Below are 16,974 nucleotides of genomic sequence, written 5' to 3'. Positions count from 1 at the left end.
TTAAGAATAGTACCAGTGTGAATGCCCCACGAACACATGTTGTTTGACGCATATTCTTCCATAGAGGTGGGATTCTTAGGCCGTAGAGTATGTCAAGCTTTAGAAAACATTAATAGTTTTCCAAAATGGTTGTACCAATTTACATTCTCACCAGTAGGGCATGATTATGGTTCCAGGTGCTCCACATTCTCTCTGTCATGTGGTATTTTCCATCTTTGTAAGTTTACCCTTTCTGGTATGTTCATAGTGATACCTCATTGTTATTTGAATTCGCATTTTTCTGATGTCCAAGAAGTTGAGCACCTTTTTGTAATTTTACTGACAATTGGATTTCTCTTTTTTGAAGGACTCTTTCAACTCTTTAGCTACTCTGTCCTGCATGAGTGCTTTTAATATAGTATATACAAGTCATTTGGTGTTTGTTTGTTGAGACACAGTCTTGATCTGTCGCCCAGTCTGGGGTGCAGTGGCACGATCTCAGCTCACTGCAACCTCCGCCTCCCAGGTTCAAGCGATTCTCCCGCCTCAGCCTCCTGAATAGCTGGGATTATAGGCGTGTGCCACCATGCCCAGCTAATTTTTGTATTTTTAGTAGATATGGGGTTTCACCATGTTGGCCAGGCTGGTCTTGAACTCCTGATCTCAAGTGATCTGCCTGCCTTGGCCTCCCAAAGTGCTAGGATTATAGGCGTGAGCCACTGTATCCAGCCATCATTTGTTTTCATGTAAGTATTTTCTTCCACTCTGATCCACTCTTGCATTTTTAACTTTCTTCTTAGTGGGTTTTTTTTTTTTTGATGGAGTTTCACTCTTGTTGCCCAGGCTGGTCCGCATCCTGGGTTCAAGCGATTCTCCTATCTTAGCCTCCAGAGTAGCTGCGATTAAAGGTGGCTGCCGCCATGCCCGGCTAATTTTTTGTATTTTCAGTAGAGACAGGGTTTCACCATGTTGACCAGGCTGGTCTTGAACTCCTGACCTCAGGTGATCTCCCTGCCTCAGCCTCCCAAAATGCTGGGATTACAGGCGCACTGCTCCCAGCCCTTAGTGGTTCTTAATTTTAGAGATAAGCAATTCATCATTTTGTTTCCTTTAGGTTTAGTATTCTCTATGTCCTGGTTAGGAAATCCTTTTTCATACAAAGGTCACAAAGATATTCTCCTTTCTTGTCTTCTTGTCCACTGTTTCATCTTTTGTATTAGTCCACTTTCATACTGCTATGAATACCTGAGACTGGGTAATTTATAAGGAAAAAGAGGTTTAATGGACACACAGTTCCACATGGCTGGGGAGACCTCACAATCATTGCGGAAGGTGAAGGAGGAGCAAAGGCATACCTTACGTGGTGGTAGGCAAAAGAGCATGTCCAGGAGAACTGCAATTTATAAAACCATCAGATCTCATGAGACTTACTCACTATCATGAGAACAACATGGGAAAACCTCGTCCCCATGATTCAGTTACCTCCCACCAGGTTCCTCCCATGACATGTGGGGATTATGGGAGCTACAATTCAAGATGAGATTTGGGTGGGGACATAGCCAAATCATATCACCTTTTATTCTTAAGCTCTTTTACCCAGAATTGATTTTTGTTGTAGAGGGTCAGTGTTCTTTTTTTTTTTTCCTTCTGATCTCCTTCTCTGATACATCATGATATATTTTTTAAATGACTATTTTCCCCAAAGCTCTACAGTGCCTCATTTGCCCTAAATAATGCATATATGTGCAAGTTAATTTTTGGACTTTCTATAGAGTCTTTGACATATTTTTGCAATGTTGTGACAATACCTTACTGTCTTAACTACTATAGATTTATAAATATTTCTAATGATAGTCCTCTAGTTTTTATTTCTTTATCAAATTGTCTCAACTATTCCTGGCCTTTTGCATTTTTATATACATATTTGAATTAATTTTTCGATTTCCACAAAAACTTCCTGAGATATTTATGGAGATTGAATTCATCCACGTGTCAATGATTTTGAAGAATTCGCATCTTAAAAATACTGAGTGTTCCAATCTACAAACATGGTATGCCACTGTATTCAGGTTTAAAATTTTTGTCTCAACAATGTTTTATAATATATTGGATAGAAAGTATGATACTTTTTAATATGATTTTTCCAAGGTATTTGTGTTTATTTTTATCCTATTATAGATGGCATACTTTTTCCTCAATTATACTTTCTGATTTTTGTTGTTGGTATATTATAAATATATTTTATATTCATATATTGACTGTGAATCCAGCAATATTGTTTTAGCACTTTGTTAATTATAACATTTTCTCTGATGATTTGTTTGCATTTTTTCTACAAAAACCATCATCTAGTTTGTAAATAATGAGAATTTTATATTTTCCTTTCCATATCTTTGATGTTTTAGTTTTCCCTTGCCTTAAAACTGGCTGAGAGTTTCAGTACAATGGTGACTAAAAGTGATACTATTAGGCATGATGTTTAAGTGTAAGGTTTTTGAAGACATCCCTGGTCAGATTAATACAATCCCCTACTCTTCTTACTTGCAAAGTTTTTGTTGTTAATGGATACTGGTTTTTATCAAATATTCTTACTTCATCTAGTGAAATGATCATACATTTTTCTTCTTTGTTCTATTAACATGATGAACTAGAGGAAACATTATAGATCACCTCCTAGGTCTGTTGTGTGGAATAAATGAGATTACACATCCAGATTGGTTGGACCGGTGCCTGGCACAAAGGAGACACCTTAGGTGTTTCAGTGTGAGGATTCTTACGGCACTGCTTATAGTGCAGAGAGAGGACAGGATGTCAGGACAGACGTAAAGAGCCTCTGAGCCCAGCCTTTTAAGGCTTGGTGTTGCTTTAGGACTGACTCTCAATGTTTTCTCCTTTGTGAACAACAAAGAGCAGTGCTTTAAGACATGATTTAATTGTCCAATTTGCAATACAAGTGCTACAAAACTTAGGCATCTTATTAAATTTGGCAGAAGAAAAGAGATTCACCTTCACTGCACTGTATCAGCAAGCAGTAATATGACCAATATTCCCATACAATAATGATTTCAGTGCATGACAAATAGGAAACATGGTTGTTGGCATAGATATGTACACATATACACACATGTACACATATATACACACGTATTACTTTGAATAACTCAAAGTTAGAAATAAATGTGAAGAATATCAGTGGTTTTCTCAAATACTGAAATCTTTAAAGAAACCATAAGCAGAGAATTGTCTCAATATTTATTAATCAATATTAGAGTCCATAGTATTATCCAGTTTACGATGCATGAAATTGTGGACTTGATGATAAAGGGACAAGATCCAAAGGCAAGGAGTGACCTTGATTTGGGTTCCAAAAGTGATGCTGACTTGATTGATGTTTAGTGACTTGGACCCTGGGCCACAAAGGAGAAGCTGGGAGTGATGAGCTCATGTGACGGAGGTAAACTAGCCTCTATTTGTCAGTAATGATTTGTTTCACTAATGGAAATGCCTCGCAGTCAGTTAGTGTTCAAACTGTTTTCTTCATACCCATTTCCAGCCTCTGAAATGAGTTAACCTCCAGGAATGCTACCTACTACAGACCAACATTAAGCCATCATCTAATAAGTACATATCCATGCTGGCCAGAGAACACTCTTTGTGGCTGGCCAAAACCTTGATTCCAAAGATATAACTGATTTCAAATATATTTCTAAAAGAGAATGTTCTGTGCAGTGGCCTTCAACAGTTGACAGTGTAGCCTCCAGTCAAAACTATTGTGGTTACAGTGTTACTGCTTACTCAAGAGACAGAGATTCATTCTACATCTTTAGTGACATGTCAGGATTTGTTCTGTGGATTTTTTTGTAGACCATGCATCTGCTCCTTGCCATTTCAACTCATGCCCTCTCTATATATTCACGCTAAAACTTTCTTTGAAGTGACAGGAAGTTCTTGAAAACACTTGGTATGGATTCCCTTCAAAAGAATGGCAAAAATATGGAATTTGGCATTTTGCTTTTACCTTGTTTAGGAAGATCCTCCCAAACAGTTTGGAATCTAAAAAGAACATTGTGTAAAAATATCTAGACAGAATACTTATGACTCTACTGAGTACGCTAAGCCCTTTACCAAAATAATAGGGTGTAAAAACAAATAGAGCTTAATTTTCCTACACAAATCCTGTGTCTGACAGCTGGTGGCAGAATCTTTTCATTTTCAATTAAAGTGACAAAGGAAATATAGAAAAAAAAGAACGGGAAGAAAGGTCTGGTTGTTCTTTTAAGTTAATCCTTTAGATATATAGTAAACATTGCAAACAGTAATAAGAGTCTTTAGATGAGTATTTTAATACATCCAAAAATGGTATGTTCAACTTTCATTTGAAAATGTGAAGTTTTAAAACTTTGAATTGGCCAGGCGCGGTGGCTCACGCCTGTAATCCCAGCACTTTGGGAGGCCAAGGCGGGCGGATCATGAGGTTAGGAATTTGAGACCAGTCTGGCCAATATGGTGAAACCCCGTCTCTACTAAAAATACAAAAATTAGCCGGGCATGGGGGTGCATGCCTGTAGTCCCAGCTACTTGGGAGACCGAGGCAGGAGATTCGCTTGAACCCGGGAGGCAGAGGTTGCAGTGAGCCGAGACCGCGCCACTGACTCCAGCCTGGGTGACAGAGCGAGACACCGTCAAAAAAAAACACCTTTGAATTAACTTAGATATCAATGAATGCATTTCCATTCACTTTTTGTCTTCTTTTGCAAATGGACACAAATTACCGACTTTATGCCAGGCTGTGTGCCACGTGATGGGAATACAATAACGGATAAGAGAGATTTCCTACCTTTAAGGAACCTGCAGTTCTGAGGCTTAGGCAGTTAGGCAGTTGCCACATAATAAGACATTATTCTTCATAGCAGTCTGGATAAACAGCTGAAGTAGTTGAGAGCAGAGAGATTTTGACGTTGTGTGCAGAGGAATTTTCACAGAGGAGGTAAAGTTTAAGGTACATTTTAAAGGCTGGATTACTTTTTTTGGCCAGGGAAGATGAACACTTCTGGCCCAGGACATGAAGAGGTGCAGCTGGGAGAAAGATCGGGAATGTCAAGTATTGGTGAGATTGAGGAAGTGACTGTGTGAGGCTGGAGAGACAGATCAATGTCAAGTGATGGAGAAGCTTATATGGTATGCCAGGAAGCTTGGATTTTGTTCTACATGGAGGAGAGGGATGTGAAGTAGCAGGGGAAATTCTGAGCAGGACTTAGAGATGTTAGCAAAAGCAAGTGTGCAAGGAATATGGATTGGAAAAGTTCAGAGAGAGCACGTCGGTTAATTTCAGTAGCCAAGACAAGAAATAATCAGATCATGAATTAGAGACAGCAGTAGGAGGAGGAAGGTTGGCGAGTTATGTAAGAGTATTACACAAGTGACCACATAATTTATTGTCTGAACTGGGATTTATTTGAGAATAAAAGGAGGCATTTGTAAACATTATTCCCCACCAACAGACATAGACTGTAACTCTCCCAGGAAAGCCAGGATGTATGGCCACTTGGATATTAAGACCTGCCTGAAGAGAAAAAGAGAAATGGATCTAAATGGAGTGTTTATCTTCTAGCTTGAATGACTAACAGTACTTCGACTAACAAAGATTGTGAGCAGTAGAATTATGATATGTTTCATGGGATATGTCTCCATGATATGGAGAATTTGGTTTTGGTGTGTCGAATTTGAGATAACTACATGATTGCCAGAAAATGTCATAGGCAGTCAGAAATACATACTTGTAGCTCAGGAGGCAGCTCTGTGATAGCATCGTGGATTTGACTGGAGCTATGGTCAATCCACTGACTATACTGTCAGGGGATCTGCAAATGTTAGTTGATTTCCACTGGATCACACACACACTTACTATTAGGAGCTGAGAACAGCTCATGCTCTAATTAGAGTTTCGTATTTTCCAAAAAGTCCTTTTTCTTAAATTTTATCCATTCCCACTTCCCTTGTTATTTTAAATCTGAAAGCCAAATGAACATATAAATTGTAGCAGAGCTCATGATGTTGAACACATGATAGAAGGGAGTGGTAGAAAGCTTTGGGAAGTCCAAAGAACAATGAAGAGGAAAGTATGTGTTTCAAACTTATTCCACATTTTTCCTCCTTACAGAAACCTTTTATGTACTCACCACATGATCTACAGAATCCCAAACCAAAGTTTCCCCAGACATTCATAAAACATGCTCTTATTCATAATTATCACACATGTAGGAAAGGAGACCTTTGAAATGGACTCAGTATTACTAGCATAGGAGCACTGTACGGAATGTGAATATCAGCACAGTTTCTGTCATGGGAAAGGACACTTTGGCTGGATTTTCTGGATTTTTTTGACTTTGTAAAATGAGAAATTATCTCCTCTGTATGAAACTCAATAGACCCATCTAAAGTGGTTTCAAACTCCTTGACAAGTAGCTGAATATTTTTGAATGATAATTTATTTCCAATTGTGGACACACTGAGTTGAAAACCTAAAAAGACTTAATGCTTTTGGCAAATAAGGGAAGAAAAGAATCTTGCTCATTAATCAAAACTCAATCATAAACAGAAATGGGTTCTTATGTCACATTTCCTAAAAGTGATGGTGGGCAAAATATTGCTTTTGGACTTGGAGTTAGGGACCTAAAAGCCCAAATCTATTCATTTCACTCAAAATTTTTCAGAGACAGTTTCAGTTATTAGGATGTAGCATGTAGTTTCATAGATAAATGAATTAAACGTCAAATATTAGCTTTCTTTACTTAATACACATAGTAGTTGGGTTATAATAGTGAATGCTCTGGGAGAAAATAAATATTTTCAACATTGCATTTGTAGAACAAACATTATTTTAAAACAATTCCACTTAGCTAATTTTGTTAGTAATTTTATTACTCCATTGATATTAGTTCATTTTTACTGTGTAATAATAGAATAAACAATTGTTTTAAGCTTTCTGGCCTGCCTGCCTGCCTGCCTGCCTTCCTTCCTTCCTTCCTTCCTTCCTTCCCTTTCCTTTCCTTTCTTCCTCCCTCCCTCCCTCTCTCTTTCTTCTCCTCTCCTCTTTTCCTTTCCTTTCCCTTCCTTTCCTTTCCTTTCTCTCTCTCTCTTTCTTTCTTTCTTTTTTTTTTTTTGTCATAGAGACAGGGTCTTGCTCTGTCACCCAGGCTGGAGTGCAGTGGCATGATCATGGCTCACTGCAACTTCAAACTCCTGGCCTCAAGCAATCCTCCTGCCTCAGCCTCACAAGAAGCTGGAACTACAGACATGCACCACCATGCCCAGCTAATTTTCTTTTCTCTTCTTTTCTTTTTTTTTTTTTTTTTTTTTTGGAGTTTCTCTCTTGTTGCCCAGGCTGGAGTGCAATGTCGCAATCTCGGCTCACCACAACCTCTGCCTTCCGGGTTTGAGTGATTCTCCTGTCTCAGCCTCCCAGGTAGCTGGGATTACAGGCAGGCACCACCACGCTTGGCTAATTTTGTATTTTTAGTAGAGACGGGGTTTCTCCATGTTGGTCAGGCCGGTCTCGAACTCCCAACCTCAGGAGATCCACCCACCTCAGCCTCCCAAAGTGCTGGGATTACAGGCGTGACCCACAGTGCCTGGCCGCCCAGCTAATTTTTTAAAAAATATATTTTTTGTAGAGATGCGGTCTTGCTATGTTGCCCAGGATGGTCTCAAACTCCTGGCCTCAGGTGATCCTTCAGCCTCAGACTCCCAAAACGCTGGGGTTGAAGGCATGAGCCACTGCATCTTGATGGTTTTCTGGCTCTAGACTTTGTGTCTCTACAACGTAAATGTGAAAAGTTAGCTCAGACATAGAGGAAACATTCATGCTTCTATTTTAAGTAGAAATGCCTATGTGATACTCAAAAATTCTTATTTTAGTTGTACATCAGAAAGTTCTGTTTCACCAGATCATGTTTACAGATAGAGTATGAGGCATTGATCCATGAGAGGACTTCATTCAACTAACCTTTACTGAGCACCTACTGTATGCAATGCACCATTTCCGATGCTAAAACACTGCAAAGAGGCAGACAGAAATCCCTACCCTGATGGAATTGGCATTCTGTGACACCTCTCTAAGTGTGTGCCCCCTTCCCTAGTGCTGTGACTTACAATTCTTTTTAAAGCAATTATTATTCTGGAGAACCCAAGGATTGCCTCTTTCTCAGAGCTCTAATGTCAATAACCCTATCATTCTTTGTCATTAGACTTTTGCGAACTGAGGAATTCACATTTAATGAAAAATTTTAGAGCCCTTTGTTTATGCCAGACACTGTGAGTTACATCTATTTGAAAAGAAAATTAGACCCATCTAATTTTTGAACCATAGTTGAAGCATATTACAGGTAAATTTTTTATCACTTAAAAATACTTTTCAGGTACTTTCTTTGTAATGTCATTTATTTGTGGAAGGAATTAAGCTAAGGAACCAGATCAACTGGGTATTTAGCACAGAATTTTCAGATACAGCCTTTCAGGAAGTGTTTGGCTATTTATTTTATTTTATTATTATTTTTTTAAGACAGAGTTTTACTGTTGTTGCCCAGGCTGGAGTGCAATGGCATGATCTCAGCTCACCGCAACATCCACTTCCCGGGTTCAAGCGATTCTCCTGCCTCAGCCTCCCGAGTAGCTGGGATTACAAGCATGTGCCACCATACCTGGCTAATTTTTGTATTTTTAGTAGAGACAGGGTTTCACCATGCTGGCCAGGCTGCTCTTGAGCTCCTGACCTCAGACAATCCACCCACCTCAGCCTCCCAAAGTGCTGGGATTACAGGCATGAGCCACCACGCCCGGCCTGAACTATGCTATTTTTAATATTCTAGTTACAGATTGAGACCTGCAGTCATAACCTAAAATACAAGCTCTTAGGATTTTAGTAATTAGCAAGATAAAGCTAAGGACATGATGTTTGTATAAATGACTTCCATCAAAGCAAATATCTATGAATTGATCTGTTAAAATTGAGCTCAACTCACATAAATGAGTGTGGGCATTGTTAGTCCCCATACTGGTCATTTGGGGGTGCCATTTACAATACTTTCAGGGCATTTTTAATCTAAGTTTAATTTATATTTTACTTTCTCAGATTGCTTTTAATTACCTTATGTAATATCATGTCTTTTCACACTTTCTTCCGTGTCTTAGATTATAAGGAATTATTTTCACTGTTGCCAGAATGAGTAGAGAAATAAAAGTGAATTTGAACTGGTATACCTTTGTTCACTTATTTATTCATTAAATGTTTACTGTCTGTTTATCACCTGCCAGGCACCATGCTCATCTTTGTTTATGCAACAGTGACAGCAAATAGGCATTATCTTTATAGTTATGGAGCTCTAACCAAATGGGGTTGACAGGGATTCATGAAGTAACCACAGAATCAAACAAAACATTGGGAACGAGAGGAGTGTCTGCATGAGATGAATATGTAGAGGCAGTGGAGACCTGGAAGCCAGGCTGAGTATTAGTGTCTTTATTCAGAGGGCAGAGAAAAGCCATTCAATGACTCAAAGCCAACCTTGAGATGGGGATATTACCCTTAATTATTTGGGTGGAAACGAATACAATCACAAAAGTCCTTAAAAGTAGAATAGGGAAGCAGAGTGCAAGAATCAGAGAGATGGCATGGTGCGAAGGACTCAGCCCAGTGTTGTTGACTTTGAAGCTGGTGGAAGGGCACCACCAGCCAAAGAATTCCAGAAGCCTCTAGAAACCTGAAAAGTCATGAAAATACATTCTTCCCTGGAGCCTCCAGAAAGGAGTACAGGCCTGCCTTGATTTTAGACCAGTGACACCCATTTCAGACCTCCAGAAGAGAAGACATTTATATTGTTTTAAGCATCTACACTCAAGGTAATTTGTCACAGCAGCTGTAGAAAACCAGTACATGAACTGATTTAAAACACACCAAACCTATTGCATTGGCTGAATTAGTATCCTTATTCTCAGATACAGGGAATGAGGCTCACTGAGGCTGTTGGAGTTGCTTGCTGAAGCCCACCTTCCTCGAAGGTTATGTGTGGGGTCAAAATTCTGCATCCTACAGCCAGAAAGAAAAGTGTGAATGCAAGGAGCAGTTGAGGTGCAGAAATCAACATGGTAGCTACAGCAAAGTTGAGTTTGGAAAGCCTCCACATGGGAGAGGAAGGAGGGAGCATCAGCTCTTCAAGGGACTAGCTCAGGTGAAAGTAGACATTTGGGAGCTGTCAGCAGAAAAATTTTTCAAACCATGGGAATCAATGAAGTGATTCATGGAGGTGACACAGAGAGAAGATGAAAGTGCAGTGAACTCAGACATGGCGAGATTTAGGGCTAACAAAAGGGAGGGAACCCAAAAGGAGTGCCCCATGTGTCACTCTTGATGCTGCCTCCTATGAAAATATAATTGCATTGTAAAATATGTAAAGGATTTTTAGGATATGGAGGATCCCCAGGGCAGCCAAGCCTCCTTGTATTGCTGTAATGTAGCCACCCCAAGTCCCCTGACTGCTCTTCACCAAAGACCTTCAGTCATCCGTCATGCTCCGTTCTCATGTCAGCACTTTGGCACGTGCTGTGTATTCCCTGCTGGTAGAGCATTTAAGCTGCCCAATATTGTAACCATGGCCATCTTCAGCTGTTTAAATTTAAATTAATTAAAATGAAACAGAATAAAGAATTAAATTCCTCTGTTAAACAGAGGACATGTGAAATGCTTTATAGGCACAGGTGACTAGTGTTTACCACAGACAGAACATTTCCATCACACCCGCCAGTTCTGTTGGACAGGACTGGCTGAGAACACCCTCCCACAGGTCTCTGCAGTGCCACTACCCACTGCTACACCTTCTTCAAGTCCTGACTCAGAATTGAACACACGCCAGCCGCCTTATATAAAATCAGCACTTTTTGTCAATCCACCCTACTGCCCTTACCTTCTGGTTTTTTTTTTGTTTTATTTTTTTGTTTTTTTGTTTTTGGGGGGGGGGTGGTGGGAGACGGAGTTTTGCTCTTGTTGCCCAGGCTGGAGTGCAGTGGCGTGATCTCGGCTCACTGAAACATCCGCCTTCCGGTTTCAAGAGATTCTCTGGCCTCAGCCTCCCGAGTAGCTGGGATTACAGGCGCCTGCCACCACGCCTGGCTAATTTTTGTATTGTTAGTAGAGAGGGGGTTTCACCATGTTGGCCAGGCTGGTCTCAAACTCCTGACCTAGTGATCTGCCTGCCTCGGCCTCCCAAAGTGCTGGGATTACAGGCGTGAACCACCGTGCCCAGCCACCTTCTGTATTTATATGTGGACTTACTACGTTCTAACATAATATCTATCTTATCTATGTATTGTATTTATTCTCTGTTATTATTGGCCCCATTACTATGTAAAATTCAGGAGGGCAGCAGCCACTCCTGTGTGATTATTTCATTGCTGTTGAATGGAAGAACATGAACACACTCAGTGATTGACTTCAGCGTTGTGCATAGCCTATAATTCTTTTTTTAAAAAATAAACTCTTGATGTCTGCTATGTAAAAATTAAAACCTCTAGTACATGATTTCTCTTTTAGCTAAATGCCCGGAGTGCCCACTTTTATATCTGTTTGCTTTCTCGGATTTAAAGTTCTTCTTTTCTGGTTCCAAAGTGCTCAAAGCGAAGTTCCCACTAGATCAACCCAATTTCATCAAAGAGTTTTCTCCTCTGAAAACTCCCATCAAACACTTGGCATGATGTTGGGGGACAAGATGTTAAATCACCTGCAAAATGGTGCCATTTGGTGCCATTTCACACTCCTCGGACACACTGGGGTGATTAATAAACCCGAGACTGTCAAGGTCTGCTTTCCCACACTCATTGAGTTGCTTGCCGCTATTTTATCTTTTTTCCCCCCACTTTATTGTCCAAAGTAAAGAAATGTACAGAAAATATTCCTCTTGCCCTGGGAATAAACGTGTTCAAAGGGTCAGTCTTCTGGCCTGTGTTTGAGAACACCAAGTCATATTTCAGTAGGGATCAGCCATACAGAAATGCCACGATGCGCTTGGTTAAGGGAGAGTGGGAAGCATACGTCCCTATCCTTTGGACAAAAGAACTTCTTTATGGCAATACATAACAGGAAATAAACGTGGATAGCCAATTCTGCAAGTGTGAAGGGAATGTTTTTGTTCTTGTGTGGATTCAATAGTATCTCATCTTTATCAAAAAAAAAGGTAGGATTGAGAAACTTCTGATGATTCTCTTTTGCAACAGGAATTACGAGAGCTGTTGCTAGGTGTTGCCTTTCATTGTAGGGCTTTGCTTACTGTAAAAACCATGGCTAGGTTATTCTCAAGACATCTTTGGAATCATTTTGCTATGAATTTACTAATTTTTTTTTCTACTTAGTGCTTGCACTTCAACACAGGTTTTCCCTTGGCAGTATATTACTTTTTTCCCTTACTTTGTTCTTAATGATTAAGTATTCAGAATTACTAATTATTATAATTATTAAGTAATCAGAATCTCACCTCCTTTGGCTCACTGTGCATTTATTGGTCACCTGTAGAGTTTCATTTCCTCTCCTTTTCTCCTCTCAAGTTCAAGAACCCCAGGCTACCTGGAATGTAACATCCAGCCTATTATTTTTGTTTGCGTGTTTTGGCATTATAGATCCCACTGTCAACCGATATCATGTGCGGTGGTTTCCTGAAGCGTGTGCCCACAACAGAACAACCGGATCAGAGGCATCATCTGGCATGACCCACGTAAGGACATGATCTCTAGGCCAACTTGATCTGTGAACATAATTAGACAGGAGGATGTACAAACTAGACAGGTCAAACAGATAACTCATTCCCACAAATCAGCTATGGAGTAATGACTTGATGGAAGTGGAAAGCAGAATGGTCATTATATTCACTCATTCTTTTATCCATTCACACCATTGCACTGGGAGCTTACTCTGTTATCCACATGGAGCAAAACCTAAAGTGCAGAGACTAAAGACACAGTTCTTAAAGAACTCCCATATTTCAGGGGGAAATATGTCTGAGTATGTGTGTGCTTCATCTTAACTGGACAAAAGCTTTGAATTATTTTCTGAATTTTGACATGTCACCGTGATCTAAAGGTGTAATGGTACAAGTGGATTTCTATGTGACTCTATCATTGAGCACCATGTCCCTAACTGCCATCAGCTCAGTTAGTGAAATAATCTCCCTGTCCTGTATAGCATGCACCAATATTTTGACTTTCAACTTTAAGAGAACATTAAACTCTCTGAGGATAGCAACTCTGTCAATATTGCCCAAAATGTTATTCCAAATATTTTGGGGTTCATTCATGAATTATAGATTAGAATCAACAAACTAACACAAAATATTTAAGAGGTCATTTTATTATACAGTGTATAATACACTTTGATGGCAGTTTATATGTGATACCTCAGGACAGTTTAAAAAATCCAAAAACATGGCCCCAAACATAGAATGTTTTGGTTTGTGATATGTAACTAGAATATTTTTGTTTTGAACATTTTCTAAAGCAAGCACGATATTTTAAGAACCATACCTGCTGGCATAATTTTAAGAGAGTGAGATAAAACAAGTCACTGGATTTTCAGAAATACACAGATTCTTTTTCTTTTTTACTGGACTTAATTTGTCTCATGTTCAGCAATGTTTCTCCTTGTATTTATCCTTAAATTAGCTCCAATGTTTGTGACCTTCAGTAAAATAATTAAACAGACATTCTAAATAAGGAAGTCGATTTGAAAAGCAGAGAAAGCAATAAACAGAAGCTGGAATTATTAATATTTTTGTGGGCAGAGGGGTGAGGTTTTTGTTTTACTTATATGTGTGTGCCTCAGAACCTTACAGAACTGGGCTTATGTCAATGCAATTCCCCAATCCTAGGCTTATCATCTTTAGGAACTCTGAAAGTGGTAACAACTATTTGCTGAGCAGATGTAATGTATCTGGTAGAAATAAAAATCAAACTCCTGAAAAATTATCCTTCTAGGGGTTTAGAACTTATCTGTATTTAGTTTTAAACCTTTAGATCCAATTATTATAATTTGTTTTTATGCTACAATGGAGCATCCACTAATTCACTTACTGCTGCAGATGTCTGTCTCCTATGCAATATGAAAACAATCTTGAAATATCTGTGAAACAGGATCCTTAATAGCTAACCTTGGATTCCAGTATAGTCCCATGTAAAGAGCAGATTTATTTCCAAAGAAAAGCAATTCAGACTCCCAAAGAAACATGGTGGCCTTGGCTTGGGCTTGGGTTGGGCTTGGGTTGGTCTTGCGTTGTCCAGATTGATTTGTTTCCTATTCACTGTTTGTGCTAACTGGCTGCAGAGTTGGGTGCACCCCATCTCCTGTCACCATCTGGATGAAGGGCCAGCACACCTGGAGGTCACTCCCGGTCTCTTTTGAACATTCAGTGCTCTGTCACCTGCAGCCACTTCCACTCCTCACTTAAGTAAATCACTCAAGCCTCAGTTTTGATTTTAATTCTTGTCTCATGTTTTTCCCGTCAACGCTGCTGCTTTCTAGCAAGATCCCCTACCCATCATCCAATGAGTGCCAGAGATATTCCATCTGTACTTTTTTTCCTCTCTTAAAAAATAATTAAACACACACACACACACACACACACACACACACACACGTAAAAACCATGGAGTCTCACTATGTTGACCAAGCTGGTCACAAACTCCTGAGTTCAAGCGATCCTCCCACCTCAGCCTCTCGAGTAGCTAGGACTATGACACGAGTCACCATGCCCAGCTATCCATCTGCACTTTTATACATATACATTAAGAATTGGTAAATACAAAACAGAATGGATAAGTGCCATTTAGCCAAATATGAAAGAAACAGAGATACACACCTGTTATCACAGGAAATGTCATCTTTTGACATTATCATAAAGTTATATTCTTAGCCCGTGACTCCTTACCATTTAGCCTCTTTCTTTTATTTATATTTAATCACAACATTATGGCAGAAAACAGTAACAGCACTCCAAAAAAGGGAAAAATTATATTGCTAAAGAATATCATCATTTTTTAACAGAAAAACTTACATATAAACTAATTCTATGTCTCAGAGAAGCCTGCGTTAGTTTTTTTTAACTGAAAAAAGTTAGATTTGTATTTACAGCTTTACACCACTACCTGCACTGCTACCAACTCAAAAATGCTGATTGCGACCTTAGAAGTAGCCTGCTTTGATGAGGAATTATTATGATACTGTTTAATTCTAGAAGGCATATCCCGCAGCCATGGGAGTGTTTCACAATTGTCATTAATCAAAATGTGGACAGTATGTGCTTTGTACTTTTTATAAAAGCCATATTGCACACACTATATAGGAAAACATCCTTGTTGGATGGAATATGATTTCAATTCTTGCCAGTGTTTTTTAATCCCTAATGAGATTTATTGCTAGCATAATTCTCTTTCTCTTGCTCTAGGAAAATTACATAATTCTTCAAGATCTGTCATTTTCCTGCAAGTATAAGGTGACTGTCCAACCAATACGGCCAAAAAGTCACTCCAAGGCAGAAGCTGTTTTCTTCACTACTCCACCATGCTCTGCTCTTAAGGGGAAGAGCCACAAGCCTGTTGGCTGCCTGGGCGAAGCAGGTACGTTTTCACCTGAAGGACTTCTACATCTAGGTCTACGGTGTCAGCAGCGCTTTGCAAACCTTGTCAAACTGCGTTTCACAAGACCGTGAAAACCAAAAGTGCCTCTCTTTCTAAGTTGTGTTATGATGGCCCAATGTGGAGGGAAGAGATGTAGGAATGAATGTGTTATTTTAAAGCCTAACAGGCTTGGAAAGATGTCCTTTGATAGTAATGTTATCCCTTTGGAAATGAAGGCAAACATTTAGATACCGCTTGTGTTTTGGGAAAGTTTGATATAATTATTTCATTATTTTCCCACCCCTTTGCTGCGTGGGTTATACTCACACACTTTCCATGCCAACCTGGCAAACCTCACATCTGTACCTTCCATCCCATCTCCTTGCCAATGTCCCTGTCTTGCAGTGGGAAAAAGTCTTTTAAATGCCCTGGATTTGGCCAGGCATGGCGGCTCATGCCTGAAATCCCAGTACTTTGAGAGGCTGAGATGAGAGAATCACTTGAGCCCTGGAGTTCCAGACCAACATGGGCAACATAGCAAGATCTCACCTTTTAAAAAAAAAAAAAAAAAAAAAAAAAAAAGCTTCGGATTTAATAACTCTTCTAACAGCTTTAATATTTACCTTCTCACTGCAGTCAATGCTATTCTTTAAGAAATAGTTAAGTCTTGCCAGGGTCTAAACTGCTCTCCTGCCTCCATCTTCAAAAGAGCATTCTAAAAATGATCCCCAAAAGACTGGAAGAAGCATTTAGTACAAAGTTGGAGTGAGGAGATTCCTACTCAACCTATCCCCATATGTCAAAGGGGTGATTGTCTGAACCCATGTTTAAAGAACAAGGTCACATTGCTTCTATTAATATCATCCCATAGACTGGCCGCTGAAAATTCCTACAATGGATCCCTTGGGCACACCTTCTCCAGTCGCCTAATCCTGGTTTTCCTTCTTGCATTGCTGCAGGTCATGTTCTTTCTAAGGTGCTAGCTAAGCCTGAGAACCTTTCTGCTTCATTCATCGTCCAGGATGTGAACATCACCGGTCACTTTTCTTGGAAGATGGCCAAGGCCAATCTCTATCAGCCCATGACTGGGTTTCAAGTGACTTGGGCTGAGGTCACTACGGAAAGCAGACAGAACAGCCTACCCAACAGCATTATTTCACAGTCCCAGATCCTGCCTTCCGTAGGTCCCACCTCTTGTACTATGTCTGTGTCATTGGTATCTACTGCTCCTTTTTACTGACCTTCAGAGGTGGCTACCTCTGTCATTCTGTGTGCTGCACTATTGAGTCTTATTTTTGCATTTTCTTCTTCTGAGTGTATCTTTTGCAAGCATTAACACATCAC

The 16,974-nt window shown here is 39.7% G+C and overlaps 1 protein-coding gene across 1 annotated transcript in view; it reads left to right on the top strand.

Annotated features, from left to right (window-relative positions):
• Positions 1-16,974, top strand: part of ANOS1 (anosmin 1) — a 203,264-nt gene that overhangs the window by 179,737 nt on the left and 6,553 nt on the right. Inside the window, exons 10-12 of the mRNA NM_000216.4 lie at positions 12,643-12,737; positions 15,459-15,630; positions 16,590-16,810. Coding sequence (NP_000207.2) covers positions 12,643-12,737; positions 15,459-15,630; positions 16,590-16,810 — 488 coding nt within the window. The remainder of the gene's footprint in view (positions 1-12,642; positions 12,738-15,458; positions 15,631-16,589; positions 16,811-16,974) is intronic.

Source organism: Homo sapiens, chromosome X, assembly GCF_000001405.40.
Source record: "Homo sapiens chromosome X, GRCh38.p14 Primary Assembly".
In the NCBI taxonomy this organism is placed as follows: domain Eukaryota; kingdom Metazoa; phylum Chordata; class Mammalia; order Primates; family Hominidae; genus Homo; species Homo sapiens.
This window is presented reverse-complemented; position numbering and strand designations above follow the sequence as displayed.